The sequence below is a fragment of the Homo sapiens genome, chromosome 1 (genome assembly GCF_000001405.40).
Source record: "Homo sapiens chromosome 1, GRCh38.p14 Primary Assembly".
In the NCBI taxonomy this organism is placed as follows: domain Eukaryota; kingdom Metazoa; phylum Chordata; class Mammalia; order Primates; family Hominidae; genus Homo; species Homo sapiens.
The window spans coordinates 179,424,155-179,442,952 of NC_000001.11; the positions used below are offsets into that span (position 1 = coordinate 179,424,155).

The window sequence follows — 18,798 nt, forward strand, 5'->3', positions numbered from 1 at the left end:
TTTCTTACAGCACTTTGAAAATGTCATTTCTCTCCTTCCTGCCCTGTATGGTTTCCACTGAGAAGTCTGTTGCTAGGTAAGTTGGAGCTCCTTAACATGTTATTTGCTTCTTTACTCTTGCTGCTTTTACGGTCATCTTTTTGTTCTTGGCCTTTGAGAGTTTGATTGTTGTATACCTTGGGTGGTCTTGTTTGGGTCACATCTGTTTGGTGCTCTCAGACCTTCCTATAACTGGACATTCATATCTAAGTTTTTGAAAGTTTTCTATTATCTTTTTTTTTTTTTTTTTTTGAGACAGAGTCTGGCTCTGTCACCCAGGCTGGAGTGCAGTGGCATGATCTCTGCTCACTGCAACCTCTGCCTCCCGGGTTCAAGCGATTCTCCTGCCTCAGTCTCCTGAGTAGCTGGGATTACAGGCACGTGCCACCAGGCCTGGCTAATTTTTTTGTATTTTTAGTAGAAATGGAGTTTTGCCATGTTAGCCAGACTGGTCTCAAACTCCTGATCTCAGGTGATCCACCTGCCCCGGCCTCCCAAAGTGCTAGGATTGCAGGCGTGAGCCACCATGCCTGGCTGATTCTTGTTTCTTTCTATCCTTTTTTCTCCTCTGATTGTGTACAAGTAGCCTGTATTTGGGTTCACTGATTCTTTCCTCTTCTTGATGCATTCTGCTGTTGAGAACCTCTGATGAATTTTTCAGTTCAGCAAATGTATTTCTCAATTCCAGTAATTTTATTTTTTTATTATTTCAATCTCTTTGTTACATTTCTCTGATAAATTTCTGAATTGCTTTTCTGGGTTATCTTGGAGATCACTGAGTTTTCTTAAAACTGTAGTTTTGAATTCTTCATCAGAGAGCTCACGTGTTAGAGTCACTCACTTGTTCCTTGCTTTGTCCATTTGGGGAGATCATGGTTCCCTGTTTGCTGTTGTTTCTTATGAATGTATGTCTATTACTTTGCATTGAAGGTTTAGTTATTTATTCTAATCTTCTCTGTCTGGCTTGTTTTATGTTTGATTGGCTATTTTTGCTTAGCAAATCTTAAGGTTGCTGCCTCCTTTTCAGCACTACATGGTGCTTTAAACCCAGGTTCACCTCAACTCTAGTAAAGGATTGAAGTGCTACCCTTCCTATGTAGGGGAGTTTCCAAAGGCAATATCTCTGCAGTGTGAGAAGGATGGCTAGGGGCTAGTGCCCAGGGAATCTGTGGAATGAACCTTGCACAGCATGGTGCTGTTGATAACCCTCTCTCACATGGAGTCTCCTTTGGCTGAGTTGCAGAGCAAAGTTTCCAGGCCTGGGGATGGTAGTCCTTCTTCTACCCTTTGTCTCTGCCTGTCCTCAGGCATATTTATCTCTTCAGGCACTTGTGATGGTCTCCTGCCAAGGAATCAACATGATGGGGTCTCCTGCCAAGGAATCAACATGATGGGGTCTCCTGCCAAGGAATCAACATGATGAGGAAGCTTGTTGTCCATCTTGATCTCACTTTTTCCAGTGTAAAAACCATGAGTTTGGGGAAAATTTTCCATGTGCTTTGTGCTGGGCAGAAGCAGGGAGGGAGATTGAGGCTGCAGTGAGCTGAGATCACACCACTGCACTCCAGTGTGGGTGACAGAGTTAGACCCTGTCTCACATATGTGTGTGTGTGTGTGTGTAAAGAGAGAAATGTGGAAGCTCTTTTTTTTTTTTTTTTTTTGAGACAGAGTCTCACTCTGTCACCCAGGCTGGAATGCAGTGGCACAATCTCGGCTCACTGCAACCTCTGCCTCCCGGGTTCAAGCGATTCTCCTGCCACAGCCTCTCAAGTAGCTGGGACTACAGGCACATGCCACCACACCCAGATAATTTTTGTATTTTTGGTAGAGACGGGGTTTTACCATGTTGGTCAGGCTGGTCTCAAACTCCCGACCTTGTCATCTGCCTGCCTCGACCTCCCAAAGTGCTGGGATTATAGGACTGAGCCACTGCGCCTGGCCAAAGCTCTTTCTAAGTATGACGGGAAATCTTAAAATTTAAAACTTCCATTCAGTGACAATCACTAGAAATAAAAGCAAATAACAAACTGGGAGAAAATGTTTGTATAGTTAATATTACTAAAGTGGTAGAATAAATAAATTTTAAAGGTAAAATAATCCAGCAAAACAGTAGGCACAGACTATAAACAGATAATTCAGAGTAAGAAATTCAAATAGCCAATAAATATATGAAAATATGTTCAACCTCACCAATCATCAATAAGATGGAACATACAGAATAATTAGATAACATTTTTAGCTTAGCATATGGGCAAACATAGACAGATGATAAACATGAACATTTGCATGTACTATTGATGGGCATATATATTGATATAACCATTTTAGAAATTTTTATAGAGGCTAACAGTATTTTAAATTTGTACCTGTTTGATTAACCAATCACACAGGCAAAAAGTCATTCCATTCCTAAGAAATACTAATACAAGTGAATAAGAATATGGATGTTCATTTCAACATTGCTTGTGATTACAAAAATATTGAAATAATCTAAATATCCACCAGAAGGGAAATTATAGTTATTCAAACAGTAGAACACTAAGGAGCCATTTAAAAGAATGTTGTAGATATATATGTATGTGCAAAGATGGCTATGATAAGTAAAAGAAATAGCAAGTTTTAGAATAATATAAAAGGATAGGAGAACATTTAATAAAAACTATCACAAGTATATAAATAACTATGTGGCCAAGTATAGTGGCTCAAGCCTGTAATCCCAGCACTTTGGGAGGCTGAGGCTGGTGGATGGCCTGATGTCAGGAGTTTGAGACCAGCCTGGCCAACGTGGTAAAACCCCGTCTCTACTAAAAAAATTACAAAAATTAGGCAGCATGGTGGCCCATGCCTGTAATCCCAGCTACTCGGGAGGCTGAGGCAGGAGAAACACTTGAACCTGGGAGGCAGAGGTTGCAGTAAGCCGAAATCATGCCACTGCACTCCAGCCTGGGCCATAGAGTGAGGATCAGTCTCAAAACAAAAACAAGAACAAAAACAAACAAAAAAAAACTATATATAGTTTAGTTTATATATGCACACACACAAAATCTTCACCAAGAGAACAGCAAACTAATAAGACATTACCTTTGGTTAGTTGAATGTTAGGGTTGGGTGAGCTGGTGGGAATTTTGAAATTTACTTTATACTTCTATATTGTTTGACTTTGTTTTAACAAATATATATTAATTTTTTGACTGAATGGTAATTTTTGAGGATCTACTAATTTTTAAAAATAAACTTTGAGCATGTGTTATGTGTCAGACATTATGCCATGTACTGGTTGGTAAAATAAAAATAATTGAGACAAAGTTCCTGCCCATAAAACTTCATGAGATTCAAATATCTCAACGATTGAGAATGATGAGCCTTTCCAGACAAATGAAATGTTAGTAGGGATAAATGTATAGATTAATCTTACTAATATGATTAACATTAATAATTACCATGATATTATTTTTAAAAAAGAATCAGCAATTATTTATTCAGTTATTACTATCTGTCAGATATTTTGCTAAGGGAATAATTAGCATAGTTCTTACAGTAATCCCTTGAAACAGTACTATCATTACCCACATTTTTCATATGAGGACTCAGAGAGGTAATTTGCCTAAGTTCACATAGCTAATAAATGGTGAACCTAGCAAGTCTGATCCCAGAGCCTGAACTCCCAGTTTCCATTATATACCATCTTCAGAGACAAAAGACAAACAAAACTCAGGGCAGCCACCTAAAGGAGGAGACCCAATGTAAGAGCAATCCATGTAAAAAAAAAAAAAAAAAGATTTGTGACATTGAAGTAACTGTGGATTTGCTAAGGCAACTGCATGAAATGATTCTCAAAACAATGCTGGACTTTTACAAGATTAGAAGTAAAGAGAATAGAAGGAGATCATTGTCTCATTTTTCTCTGAAATGGTCAGACCTCATCTAGAATACAGTGTTCCATTCTGATGCAGAATTTTTAAGGGCACATTGACATTTTCAGAGGAAACAATCATGACAGTAAATACATGATGTAAGAAACAGATTTGAGCTAGACATGTTCAGTGGAGAAAAAAGAAGAAAAGTGAGATCCCTCACACTAGAAGTATTTCAATAGTAGAGAGCTGGCCCCTGGTAGAGGTTTCTGTAGAATTCCTTGCATTGATGAGCTTTGTGTTAGATCATCCCTAGAGTCCCTTCTAACTGAAGTGACAGTTAGAATGTCAATTCCTTGAAAATAAGAACTTTATCTCTTTTGTCCATGTCTATGTCCACAGTGTCTAGAACAGTATTTCATTAAATGACTAGCAGTTGATTTCTTATATTAGTGGTTCTCAAAGTATGGCCCAGGGACCCCTTGTGGGGGGCAGGAGGCCTCTATGAGACCCTTTTAAGAGCTTCAAGAAATCAAAATTAGTTTCATTATAATACTAAAATGTTGTTTGCCTTTTTCATTCTCATTCTTTTATTAAGAGTATGCAGTGGATTTTTCTAGCAGCTACATGACGTGATATATTCTAACAGATTGAATACAGAAGCAAATGAGAATCCAGCTCTGTTCTTCTAAGGCAAACATTAGATTTGTAAAAATGTAAAACAATAGCACTCTTTTTACTAATTTAACACAATTTTTAAAAATAAATATGCTATTTATGTTAATATGTAATGGGTTTGTTAATGTTTAAGTGATTAACAAATACACGTGTTAAATCTAGTTTACTTTCTGCCGGGCGTGGTGGCTCACGCCTGTAATCCCAGCACTTTGGGAGGCCGAGGCAGGCAGATCACGAGGTCAGGAGATCGAGACAATCCTGGCTAACAGGTGAAACCTCATCTCTACTAAAAATAAAAAACATTAGCCAGGCATCGTGGTGGGTGCCTGTAGTCCCAGCTACTCAGGAGGCTGAGGCAGGAGAATGGTGTGAACCCGGGAGTTGGAGCTTGCAGTGAGCCGAGATTGCGCCACTGCACTCCAACCTGGGTGACAGAGCAAGACACTGTCTCAGAAAAAAAAATATCTAGTTTAATTTCCAATACAGTAAATATCAATAGATGCATTCCATATAAATAAAAGCATTTGAGAGTATAAAGGGGCCTTGAGATAACATTTTTTGTATAAAGGGGTCTTTAGATCAAATTTTTGGAGAAGTTTTGCTATACACTATACTTCAGTTTGGTTCCAGTTCAGTGGAAAATGTGAATTTGTAATTCGTGTTAATGATTTAAACGAGAAATTTTAGTTGAGTTAATGATTCCATGAAAAATCGATATATGAAATCACTGTAATAAATTATAGTGGTTTGCTAATGTTTTAGGTTCCTGATTATAGTACATTATTTTTATAGGTGATTGAAAGAAATAGAGTCATATTGGCTAGAAGACTTTACCTTAATGAAAAAGGCTGGAATAAATACACTAAGCATTTCATCATACTGCTATCAAACAAGGTAAAGGTCAATTATCTTCAGTTATGGGAAAAAAAGATGCCAAGTGGTGAGGGTTGAGACTGTAAGATGCCTTTGTTAAATTTATCGATTTTAAAAATATCATTTTATATTAGTGCTTATTGTACAGAATGAAAAATCTATGGGAAGGTGAATAAAGGCCCTTATTTCTCTATATTTGTCTTCTAATTAAAGCAATTTATTTAAGTTTAATAACACTACAAGGTTACTCATACAATTATGATCCTATTGATTCATGGTTAAAGTAAAAAAAGTAAATAGCTGTGTTTTTTGAAATAGTTGCATTATCAATTTTATGGGAAAATTCAGTGAGCACACTAGATAGAAAAGGAGGGCATTTAGCATGTTTCTACTGAGTCAAAGCATTTACACTAGTCATTTCATTTAACTCTTAAGACAATTCTGTGAGATAGATATTAGGGTCTTTATGGATAATAAAAATTAATCCCAAATAGATTAGATATCATTGCCCAAGGTTACACAGCCAGTAATAGCTATAATTCACATTTGGTTTGGTTTGGCTTCTTGGTTCCTGTTCTGTCTAGCACACCACACTGCCCCTGTGAAAGTCCTATGGAAACATTGGGTTCATGTTGCAAAGGAAAAAAAAATCTTGTCTCTTAATACTTTATAAGAAATGCCATGGAAAATTCATCACCAAATGAATGGTGTAGTAGTGTAACTTTTCAATTTTTAATCAATTTTCTATGAATTTCTCTAGTATTACAATATTAATAATGGCCTGGTATATGTTAATGACTATTTGTTATATACATAAATGAATATATTATTTGATTCTATGCATTTTATATAGGACACTGAAGACCTTGCACTGTTGCAGAAGTTGACACAAAAATGGAGAAACTTAGTGAATAAACTTAAACAAGAGGTAGAACAAATGGAAGAGTCTACAAGCGAGACACTGAAAATTGTTAAGGATGGGCTTATCAAATGGCAGGAGTTCTTCAAGTGAGTCACCAAGAATCTTGTTTTTCTGATTATACTTATGTCTGATAACTCAGTCAAATTCTCTGTGTTCCTCCTTCTGTCTTTTACCTTGTAATCACTCTAACATTGATTTTGGGGAGCAGTCCCTATGAAGGCACAATCCTGCTAACAACCTTGAATAGTCCTGTGGTTTCTAGTGCTAAGTATCTCTCTAGTCCATCCCGATCCCCCTGCTCAACTGCTGCTGTCCCCATTTGAGTCCAGTTCTTTTTCTTTTCTCTCTTTTTGAAATAAAGTCAACTTATTTCATTACTTTGGCAAACTTGAGTATTTGGATCCATCTGCAAATCATATGCAGAGACGTAAAACCAATGGGTGACAGTTAGAGGGAGATGGTTTTGATCGGATATCATACTTTGCAATGATTAGAGAAATCTGACAATGAAAGAAGCTGCTAATAAAGTAGTTAAGTTGAGGTCAGATGGCTAAATCACAGCCAAGGTTAGTGGGAATCTATGCTTTGGATGCAGTCTGGACTAAATTTCTTTTTTTAAATTTAATTTTATTTTTTTTTGAGACTGGGTCTTATTCTGTCACCCAAGCTGGAGTGCAGTGGCGCAATCTTGGCTCACTGCTGCCTCCATCTCCTGGGTTCAAGCGATTCTCCCACCTCAGCCTCCCAAGTAGCTGGGATTACAGGCATGCGCCACCACACCCGGCTAATTTTTGTATTTTTAGTACAGACAGAGTTTTACCATGTTAGCCAGGCTGATCTCGAACTCCTGGCCTTAGGAGATCCACCCACCTAGGCCTCCCAAAGTGCTGGGATTACAGGCATGAGCCACCATGCCCAGCCTGGACTAGATGATTTCTAAGGTTTTTGTTTGTTTGTTTGTTTGTTGTTGTTGTGTTGTTGTTGTTTTTTAACTTTAAGATGCTTTGTCTGTTGAGGCCTGGACTAGATGATTTCTAAGGTTTTTTTTTTTTTTTAAATTTTAAGATGCTTTGTCTGTTAGGTAGCATTTCCATTTCAAATTGAGAATAATGGTTTCAGTTTTTCATACCCCCTTAAAGGTTTCCCCATTAGTAGATTTGGAAGTTCTGGAAGCTGAAGCTGGTATGTCTCCAAGCTGGCTGCTCCTGCCGTGTACCCATTTCTATTGTTTGTTGATTCTTAGCTGGGAGGTGTGCACGGGTGGCCATAGTTCTTGTCTCTTTAGCTTCAGAAGCTTATTTATCAATAGCTTTCACCTTGTGAGACTTCAGAGCCATTAAAGGAAATTGTTTTCTACCAGAAGTTGGGATTTCTGGCTTAAATGTTGAGTCTTAATCACTGTAAAGGCTTTCTTTCTATTTATATAGTGCTTTGACAGCTGCATTCAACAGATCTTCTGATAATGATCTGGTTTTTAATTCTCAAGACTCAAGAGACCACCCTTTAAAAAAAATACTCTTGTGGCCCATGGCCCTGTAACTTGATTGCTCAGGTCTGAATAGAATCTGAATTTATGTTTACAAATTTAATGATAAATACCTGTGGGGAGAGGGGCTGGACCTGGAAGGCATGCTTCAAAATTATTGAGGAGAAATATGTTAGTTGTTTAGTCTTTAGTGTGTGAACTGATGATCTTGTTTATGTCTTGTTCTGAGATGTTTCTCTTTTTTTTTTTCTTCTTTTCAGTGAAAAAGACATTTTATCCCCTAATAAGGGAAATATATTTAATTCAGTTCTTTTAGACTTCAAACAGTGGCAGAAGGTAAGACTTTTTAATAAAGAGCTTGGCAATCAAAGTGCTGATTGTAAACTTGGCATTCCGGACCTACAACTGAGGCACATCCCATCCTTTTTTTTTTTTGGGACGTTGTCTCACTCACTGTCGCCCAGGCTGGAGCGCAGTAGTGTGATCTTGGTTCACTACAACTTCCACCTCCTGAGTTCAAGCGATTCTCCTGCCTCAGCCTCCCAAGTAGCTAGGATTACAGGCATGTGCCACCACGCTTGGCTAATTTTTGTATTTGTAGTAGATACAAGGTTTCACCATGTTGGCCAGGATGGTCTTGAACTCCTGACCTGAAGTGATCCACCCACCTCGGCCTCCCAAAGTGTTGGGATTACAGGTGTGAGTCACCATGCCCGACCACATCTCATTCTTTAAAAATGCCATATTAGGGGCCGGGCACGGTGGCTCACACCTGTAATTCCAGCTACTTAGAGGCTGAGGCAGGAGAATCACTTGAACCAGGGAGTCACAGGTTGCAGTGAGCCGAGATTGCACCACTGCACTCCAGCCTGGGCAACACAGCAAGACTCCATCTCAAAAAAAAAAAATGCAATGTTAAGTTTTATGAACAACAAGGAAAAAAGCAAGTGCTCAGGGACTTTAAAAAATATGCTTAAATATTCTCAGTTCTATTTCAGATTTTTGGGTCAAATTAAGTTAGGCTGCTAGAAAAGAAATCAGGAATTTGTTATTGGTCTGTTCAGGGATTCAACTTCTTACTGGTTTCGTCTTGGGAGGGTGATGTGTCCAGGAATTTATCCGTTTCTTCTAGATTTTCTAGTTTATTTGCATAGAGGTGTTTATAGTATTCTCTGATGGTAGTTTGTATTTCTGTGGGATCAGTAGTGATTTCTCCTTTATCATTTTTTATTGTGTCTATTCGATTCTTCTCTCTTCTTTATTAGTCTAGCTAGTGGTCTATTTTGTTAATTTTTTCAAAAAAAATAGCTCCTGGATTCATTGATTCTTTGAAGGGTTTTTCACATCTCTATTTCCCTCAGTTCTGCTCTGATCTTAGTTGTTTCTTGCCTTCTGCTAGCTTTTGGATTTGTTTGCTTTTGCTTCTCCAGTTATTCTAATTGTGATGTTAGGGTGTTGATTTGAGATCCTTCTAGTTTTCTGATGTGGGCATTTAGTGCTATAAATTTCCATCTTAACGCTGCTTTAGCTGTGTCCCAGACATTCTGGTGTGTTGTCTCTTTGTTCTCATTGGTTTCAAAGAACTTCTTGATTTCTGCCTTAATTTCATTATTACCCAGGAGTCATTCAGGAGCAGGTTGTTCAATTTCCATGCAGTTGTATGGTTTTGAGTGAGTTTCTTAATCCTGAGTTCTAATTTGATTGCACTGTGGTCTGGGAGATTGTTTGTTATGATTTCAGTTCTTTTGCATTTTCTGAGGAGTGTTTTACTTCCAATTGTGTGGATGATTTTAGAATAAGTGCCATGTGGCACTGAGAAGATTTGTTGATTTGGGGTTGAGAGTTCTGTAGATGTCTATTAGATCTACTTGATCCAGAGCTGAGTTCAAGTCCGAAATATCCTTGTTAATTTTCTGTCTCATCAATCTGTCTAATATTGACAGTGGGGTGTTAAAGTCTCCCACTACTATTGTGGAGTCTAAGTCTCTTTGTAGGTCTCTAAGAACTTGTTTTATGAATCTGGGTGCTTCTGTGTTGGGTGCATACATATTTAGGATAGTTAGCTCTTTCATTGAATTGATCCCTTTACCATTATGTAATGCCCTTCTTTGTCTTTTTTGATCTTTGTTGGTTTAAGGTCTATTTTGTCAGAGACTAGTGTTGCAACCCCTGCTTTTTTTGCTTTCCATTTGCTTGGTAATTAATAACCTACCAACCAAAAAAAGCCAAGGACCACACAGATTCACAGCCAAATTCTACCAGAGGTACAAAGAGGAGCTGTTACCATTTCTTCTGAAACTATTCCAAACAATTGAAAAGGAGGGACTCCTCCTTAACTCATTTATGAGGCCAGCATCATCCTGATACCAAAACCTGGCAGAGACACAACAAAAAAAAGAAAACTTCAGGCCAGTATCCCTGATGAACATTGATGCGAAAATCCTCAATAAAATACTGGCAAACCGAATCCAGCAGCACATCAAAAATCTTATCCACCATGATCAAGTCGGCTTTATCCCTGGGATGCAAGGGTGATTCAACATACACAAATCAATAAATGTAATCTATCACATAAACAGAACCAATGACAAAACCCACATGATTATCTCAGTAGTTGCAGAAAAGGCCTTTCACAAAATTCAACATCCCTTTATGTTAAAAACTCTCAATAAACTAGGTATTGATAGAACATATCTCAAAATAATAAGAGCTATTTATGTCAAACCCACAGCCAATATCATACTGAATGGGCAAAATCTGGAAGCATTCCCTTTGAAAAGACAAGGGTACCCTCTCACCTCTCCTATTCAACATAGTATTGGAAGTTCTGGCCAGGACAATCAGGCAAGATAAAGAAATAGAGAGTATTCACATAGGAAGGGTAGAGGTCAAATTATCTCTGTTTGCAGTTGACATGATTCTATGTTTAGAAAACCCCATCGTCTCAGCCCCAAAACTCCTTAAGCTGATAAGCAACTTCAGCAAAATCACAGGAAACAAAATCAACGTGCAAAAATCACAAGCATTTCTATGCACCAACAATATACAAGCAGAGAGCCAAATCATGGATTAACTCCCATTCATAGCTGCTAAAAAGAGAATAAAATACCTAGGAATACAGCCAATAAGGGATGCGAAGGACCTCTTCAAGGAGAACTACAAAACACTGCTCAAGGAAATAAGAGAGAACTGAAACAAATGGAAAAACATTCCATCCTCATGGATAGGAAAAATCAATATTGCGAAAATGGCCATACTGCCCAAAGTAATTTATAGATTCAATGCTTTTCCCATCAAGTTAGCATTGACATTCTTCACAGAATTAGAAAAGACTACTTTAAATTTCATATGGAACCAAAAAAGAGCGCATATTGCTAAGACAATCCTAAGAAAAAGAACAAAGCTGGAGGCATCATGCTACCTGATTCAAACTATGCTACAAGATGACAGTAACCAAAACGTCATGGTACTGGTACCAAAACAGACATATAGACCAATGGAATAAAACAAACAGAGACCTGAGAAATAACACCACACATCTACAACCATCTGATATTTGACCAACCTGACAAAAACATGCAATGGGGAAAAGGTTCTGTTTAATAAATGGTGCTAGGAAAACTGGCTAGTCATATGCAGAAAACTGAAACTTGACCCCTTCCTTACATCTTATATAAAAATTTACTCAAGATGGATTAAAGACTTTAAAATCCCAAACAATAAAAACCCTAGAAGAAAATCTAGGCAATACCATTCAGGACATAGGCATGGGCAAAGATTTTATGATGAAAATGCCAAAAGCAATTGCAACAAAAACCAAAATTGACAAATGGGATCTAATTAGACTAAAGACCTTTTGCATAGCAAAATAAACTATCATCAGAGTGAACAGGCAGCCTACAGAATGGGAGAAAAGTTTTGCAATCTATCCATCTGACAGAGGTCTAATATCCAGAATCTATAAGGAACTTAAACAAATTTACAAGAAAAAAAAATGAACAACCCCCTCAAAAAGTGGGCAAAGGATATGAACAGACATTTCTCAAAAGAAGACATTTATGTGGCCAACAAACATGAAGAAAAAAAAAGCTCAACATCACTGATAATTAGAGAAATGCAAATCAAAACCACAATGAGATACATCTCATGCCAGTCAGAATGGTGATTATTAAAAAGTCAAGAACCAATAGATGCTGGTGAGGCTGTGGAGAAATGGGAATGCCTTTACATTGTTGGTGGGAATGTAAATTGGTTCAACCATTGTGGAAGACAATGTAGTGATGCCTCAAGGATCTAGAACTAGAAATACCATTTGACAGCAATCCCATTACTGGGTATATACCCAAAGGAAGATAAATCATTCTACTGTAAAGACACGTGCACATGTATATTTATTGCAGCACTATTTACAACAGCAAAGACATGGAACCAACCCAATGCCCATCAATGGTAGACTGGATAAAGAAAATGTGGTACATATACACCATGAAATACCATGCAGCCATAGAAAGGAATGAGATCATGTCCTTTGCAGGGACATGGATGAAGCTGGAAGCCATCATCCTCAACAAACTAACACAGGAACAGAAAACAAAACACTGCTTGTTCTCACTCATAACTGGGAGTTGAACAATGAGCACACATGGACACAGGAAGGGGAAAAACCACACACTGGAGCCTGTTGGAGGGTGCAGGGGCAAGGGGAAGGAGGGCATTAGGACAAATAGCTAATGCATGCTTGGCTTAAAACCTAGATGATGAGCTGATAGGTGCAGCAAACCACCATGGCACACGTATACCTGTGTAACAAACCTGCACATTCTGCACATGTATCCCCAAACTTAGAGTAAAAAAAAAAAAGTCTATGTTGAACACAAAAAGCTCGGTAGATATCAGCTTTACACTTTTTTCTTCTTTGAATATATATTTGCTTATGCAGGGTAAAGATTAGTAACTTTTGCTTTCATGTGTAGCTTAAAATGACAGCTCTACTGTATATTACATTGTAAAGCTTTGTTTCTCCCAACATATGTCTTCTTCATCTATAAAAGAGACACTCACTGAAAAAAAAAAAAAAAAAAGGAAAGAAATTAGGAAAATCTCCTTGGGTGGCAGTGAGTGTAACCCGCACAGACCTAGGGGGACTGAACAAAGGGGGGCAAATGTGGGAATAAAAGACAAAAGAGTATATTTGGAAGAAGGGGTCGGGGGCACCTTGCCTCTAGTGGACAAGGACCCTGAGCTTTACAAAGCCCTCTGTATTTATTAGGCAAAAGAGATAGCGAGAAAGGGGGCGGGTGATTGTCGGGTAATTGTCAGTGGGCCATTTGGTTCTCAGCAGGCTTGCGAGACTGCATCCTTTGAACAATAGGTGCTAGATTTCTCAGTAGGTAACTTCAAGGAGCCTGGTGGCAGGGAGTGATGTCCTTCAGCAAACCTTTTGGTGGCAGGCGCAGTGTGAGTTTGCTCACATCCTGCCTTCATGATAAAGTTTGCTGTTTGATCATATAGCCGCCAGTGGAATGCTGAGTTGGTCACATCCCACAGGCCTTTGGCTCCCTACATATCCCCCTTTCTGTTTATGTATTAATTGAAAGAATGTAAGGCCAGGCTGGGCAGCTCTCATTTTCCAATTGGCGGTCCATCCGATTTTACAGACTATGAACAGAAGACAGAGACAAAACAACATTATTCCAAGAACTACATATAAGATGTTAAGGTGGTGCTTCAGATAGGTCCAAGGGTTGAGGCTCTCCAGGCCTTGCTGGAATTCAGTCCAGTCTTCAAAAGAAGGCTGAAATTCTTGAGTTTACCTATTTAAATCAAGAATTTTGTTTTGCAATTCACCAATATTAAAGGTAATGGCCGGGCATTGTGGCTCATGCCTGTAATCCCAGCACTTTGGGAGGCTGAGGTGGGTGGATCACCTCAGGTCAGGAGTTCAAGACCAGCCTGACCAGTATGGTGAAACCCTGTCTCTACTACAAATACAAAAATTAGCCAGGCATGGTGGCAGGTGACTATAATCCCAGCTACTCAGGATGCTGAGGCTGGAGAATTGCTTGAACCTGAGAGGCAGAGGTTGCAGTGAGCCAAGATCGTGCCACTGCACTCCAGCCTGGGCCACAGAGTGAGACTCCATCTCAAAAATAAGTAAATAAATAAATAAATAAATACATAAAAATAAAACAAAGGTGATGTTGGATGTGAAAGCTACCGGCAAATCGGCTTTCACAAGGTCCCACAGATACTTTGGTTATATTCTACGTTGGTGACACAAATATGAGTGTGATTAAAATGACAATGCATTTGCTGCTGCAACTGCAAGCTTTGTACTTGTTCCCCTAACCATAGGACCGTGGATTTTAACATTACCACTTCAATTTGTAACTCAGTGTTAATTTTATTCTGAAGTGGCCACGCTTGGTCGGCTGTGTGCATCCACTTCTTCAGGTACTGAGCTCTTTGAATAGAATCATGCAAAGCTACAGAGGACATCACAACAGAAGTTATTAGTGTGACCAAGGAAACAATAGCAAAAATTATCATGCTTAAGGCTCTAGGACACGATGAGTAAGCTGAGTTAGAAGTTTCACAAAATGCAAAGCAGGTGTGGCAGCCCAAGGCTCAGACAGATTAACAGGAATCCGTAGCCCAGGGATGCGACCTAAAAACCAAAAACCTGAAAGTAGGGATATTATGTGTTTGCAATGTGCTATGATTAATGCAGTGATATAACTGGCAAGATTTGCAGGTCAATTGGGTATTGTTTACCTGGAGCTGGTCCTTCCTAGCTGCCAAAAAAAGCGACTGTGTCGCTTACCATTGCTATTATTGGATAATATTCCAACCCAGATGTTGCCATTCATAAATGGGAGTGCTGCCTTCTATATCGTCTCTTGAATTGGTCCTTTCCTCCCTGGATAATGCCAGAGGAAAAGGTGGGCTAAAGCCTGCTCCATGCCAAGCAATCTGGGCGGCAGACTGGGATTGGATCTCGGTGTTGTATAAAGAAGAAGCATTAAAAGCTTGCTACCAATGCCAGCGAAGTTTGTGCTATGATTTCTGATTTTCATCTTTTCCATCTAATTGACCTTTAGGTCTCCAATCCACAATGTCTCCAGTTACCATAGATTGTTTTCTAGCCAGTGGACCAAGACACTGGGCCCACAGAAGGGGATAGGAGCTATTGAATGGAATCTATTCTGTATAATCAGCACAATTAGGGCGACTGGGCCAGGAATGGTTGGTGAGCACACCAGTTACATTAATAGAACCAAGACCTAATAAGTACATAATTTTTCCATAGTGACTCAACCATGTTTGAGCTTGAATTGTAAGACAGCTATGGCTGAGCGATGTCTGTGTAGTGATACACAAAGGAAGTCCTTCCAGTGGAAGGTATAATTAATGACATTATTCTGAGAATCTAACTGTTCTATGTCAGGGGGAGTTAGGGGTCCTGGAGCCTACTCTCCCTGATCATGACAAATCTCAGGAGGAGTTTCACTCCAAAGTTTAGGTCGTACTGCTGGGGGATTGGGAACATATGCCCAGTATGTTTTTGCCTCTGCACAGGGAAAACATACTGCACAGGACATTATGGCTAACATGGCCAAGAATATGGAATCAGGGGTTTTTGCCTGTCCCTGATGCTCCAGTAGTTTCTCAGCTTCCTGCATGGTTTTCTTGAGTTGTCCCCAGGTTATGAGGGTTGATGTCATCGTGACCCTTGTCAGCCTTCTCTCCGTCTTTGCACTCAGGCTCAGCTGGCTCATGGCTCGTACCGGAGGGACCGGGCCCATGGTTGGCCACCCTGGGTTCCTCCAGTCTCCCATTCCATGGCCACACGCACCTTGAGGGCACCCACATGGTTTCTCCATCTCCTGTAAAAACACAAGCATACCCTTGTCCCTACGTCAGTAAATCCACTGGACCTTTCCATTGTCCTTCTTCTGCAGATATCCGTAACATTTTCGGATAAATTTTCCTCTTTTCCTCTAACACTTGCCAGTGTCTTTCTGCTGGAGTCTTATCATTTGTACCAGGAGTCAAAAAATTTAAAGTAAATAAAGCTAAATATAGTTTTGATTGAGGTGGCAGTTGGCTTCCTATACCCCCTTTTTGTCTTTTCAACATGCATTGTAATGTTTGATGTGCCCACTCTATAATGCCTTGTCCTCTAGGATTATAAGGAATTCCTATTTTGTGGGTTATAGCCCAAAGCTGTAAGAAATTTTGAAAAGCATACTAGTATAAGCAGATCCATGGTCAGTTTTAATTGTTCAGGTATCCCATATGAGCAACTGATGACAGACAATGTCACTGTACATGACCAGCTGTCTCACCTGTTTGGCATGTAGCATGCAGCATATGAGAATAAGTGTCTATAGTCACATGAACATAGCTGAGCTTAGCAAAGGTTGCTATGTGTGTAACATCCATTTGCCAAATTTCATTTGGAGCCAAACCTCATAGGTTACAGCATTCTACAGGTGTGGCTCCAGGGAGACATGCTGGCAAGTAGGACTGGCTTGTATTATAGCCCTAGCTTGGCTGTGACATAAATGGAACAGGCGAGTAAGGGCAGAAGTATTTTGGTGCAGCAGCGTGTGAGACACTTGAGCTTGCTGAAACACAGAACCAATCAATTTGTCTGCTTCTCATTACCTAGAGATAGTGGCCCAGAAAGTTGTGTGTGAGAGCAAATAAGAGAAATGTGAAGAGAAGCTGCACGAGAGCGAATAACTTGTTGAAGTCTTAAAAATAAATTCAGCAGTTCTGGGTCTAGTATACTTTTAATTGTAGCAGTTTCTATGCGACCGGCTACATTTACAGCATAAGCTGAATCACAGACAATGTTGATAGGATCTGAAGCTGTGAGCTCTAAAACCTGAATGACTGTAATTAGCTCTGAGTGTTGAGCTGAAACCCCAGAGGTCATTATTGTTTGAGTATGTTTTGGTCCACAGATAGTGGCACAACCTTTGGAAGGGCCATCAATAAAATAAGTTTGTCCACCTGGAGTAGGGTGAGGGAATCAATGTACCTCCGGGAACCCATCCCTGAAACGGGGTTGAGGTCTGGACTAGGAATACTCTTACTGTGTGTGGGGCCCAAGTCCAGGCCCTTGTCTCGTTACCCGGCAGGAGAGTGCCATTCTGATGAATTTTGAGCAGCACTGATTGGCCCATTGATTTCCTTTGTTACAGCAAGGACAAAGTCCTGCGTTTTTTCCGTTGGGTGGGGCACAGCATTGTAAGGTCCTTTCTATCCTAACATATGGCGGCATTCCTTTTTAAAATGTCCAGTTTTTCCACAATTATAACATTTTCCCATTTTAGGGCTTGACCTTTGGCTCCTTTTAGATTTGTCAACTGCCAAATTAGCCATTGCTTGTGCTAACACTGCAGAGCAATGAAGCTCAGTTCCTACATCCTGACAAGCTCTGAGAAAATTTCCCAAGTTTTTTGTACACCTCACCAGTGCCAGTGCACATTTCCAATCCGCATTTGCATTCTCAAAAGCTAGAGTTAAGGTTAGCATTTCTGCGGCCACGGTATGAGGAATCTGACGCTTCACTGCCTCTTGTAATCTTGCAAGTACTTGCACATAGGGTTCCTGTGACACTTACATGTATGTAAAAAAGATTGTACTGGGACTCCCTCTTCAGGAATTGTGGCCCAGGCACATTTAGCGGCCTGTACACACTGCTGATAAGCAGCATCTGGGAGTGCCATTTAACATTCCAGGTCTGAATAAGGGCTATTACCTAACAGCATATCCTCTGTAATGTCTCCATTTCCAGCAGCATGGTTCTGTCTAGCCTGGTCTGCAGACATTTCTTGCCAATTTAAATTCCATATCAGATATGCGCTAGCAGACAAGCAAGTTCACGCCAAGTGTTTCTCATCAAAGGGTAAAAGACGCATAGCACCAAACACAGATTCTAGCAATCTTAAGGTGAATGGGCTCTGTACGCTATTATTTATCACACTTACTTTTAATTCCTTTAACAACTTAAACTCTAGTGGAGTGTGTTCATGAATAACCTGCTGTGGATTATTTGGATCAGGCCTTACGGAACTAGGAAAAGCACAAGGTCCTAAGGGCTCTCCAGCTATGGCAGCACAGCGTAAAATTCTTTGTATTGGGGTTTCTATTTCTGCTACCAAACGAGGCCGTACAGATGTTTCTGCAACTGGAAGAGGCGGTATAGGCCACTTTTTATCCTCCCTCTCCTGTTTTTATTTTCAATTGGAGCTGTGGGTGGGACGACAGATTCTTTCAGATTTTTAGATTCAGCCTGCTGTCCTGCAGAATAATAAGGAGATAATGGCAGAAGTACAGTACGAACTAAACTCCACGTGGAGAAAACTGAAGAATCAACTTTAAGACCTTTTTGATGAGCCTGTTTTAATCCTTCTCCTGCTCTATCCCAATTTTCCACATCAAGAGTGCCTGCCTGTGGAAACCATGGGTTATGCGTAATAACCTCCTGCAGCAGCTTAGTCAATGTCTGAGAACTAACCTGAGGACCATTTCGTTTCAACAAAATTTTAAGCAACTGTACATAATGTTTTTCTTCAACAGACAAATTCTGCTCCATGTTACCCTGATTCAGAAAACTTCCCATTCCCATTACTTCTTTAAAGCACTGCTCTCGGTACCTCTTTAGGGCACTGACCTTACATCCGCTGCCGGCAGACTCATCCCGGGGTCACTGTTTGCCTTGTCAATTTTAGTTCCTCTGTTCCAGCAGACCTTCTTTGTTCACATCCTTGAAGTCCTGTGTTCGGATGCCACTATGTAACCCGCACGAAACTAGGGGGACTGAACAAAGTGGGGCGAACGTGGGAATAAAAGACAAGAGACAAAAGAGTATATTTGGAAGAAGGGGTCAGGGGGCACCTTGCCTCTGGTGCACAAGGGCCCTGAGCTTTACA

At 39.8% G+C, this 18,798-nt stretch overlaps 1 protein-coding gene across 23 annotated transcripts in view, besides 1 other annotated feature; it reads left to right on the forward strand.

The window, feature by feature from the left end:
* The window catches only part of AXDND1 (axonemal dynein light chain domain containing 1), a 189,031-nt gene that overhangs the window by 58,450 nt on the left and 111,783 nt on the right, over positions 1-18,798 (forward strand). For all 23 annotated transcript variants that reach the window (XR_921742.3, XR_921741.2, NR_073544.2 and 20 more), the window contains 3 exons: positions 5,364-5,465; positions 6,298-6,452; positions 8,113-8,188. Coding sequence is in view for 20 of the 23 variants with exons in the window: in XM_011509168.2 (XP_011507470.1) it covers positions 5,364-5,465; positions 6,298-6,452; positions 8,113-8,188 (333 nt within the window). In the remaining 3 variants the exon portion in view is untranslated. The remainder of the gene's footprint in view (positions 1-5,363; positions 5,466-6,297; positions 6,453-8,112; positions 8,189-18,798) is intronic.
* Positions 17,100-17,600: an enhancer, noted in NCBI's record as "H3K4me1 hESC enhancer chr1:179410389-179410889 (GRCh37/hg19 assembly coordinates)". NCBI's record gives its function as "activates a minimal SCP1, AML or CMV promoter by ChIP-STARR-seq in primed H9 embryonic stem cells {active_cell/tissue: H9 hESC(primed)}" and the evidence as "EXISTENCE:reporter gene assay evidence [ECO:0000049][PMID:30033119]".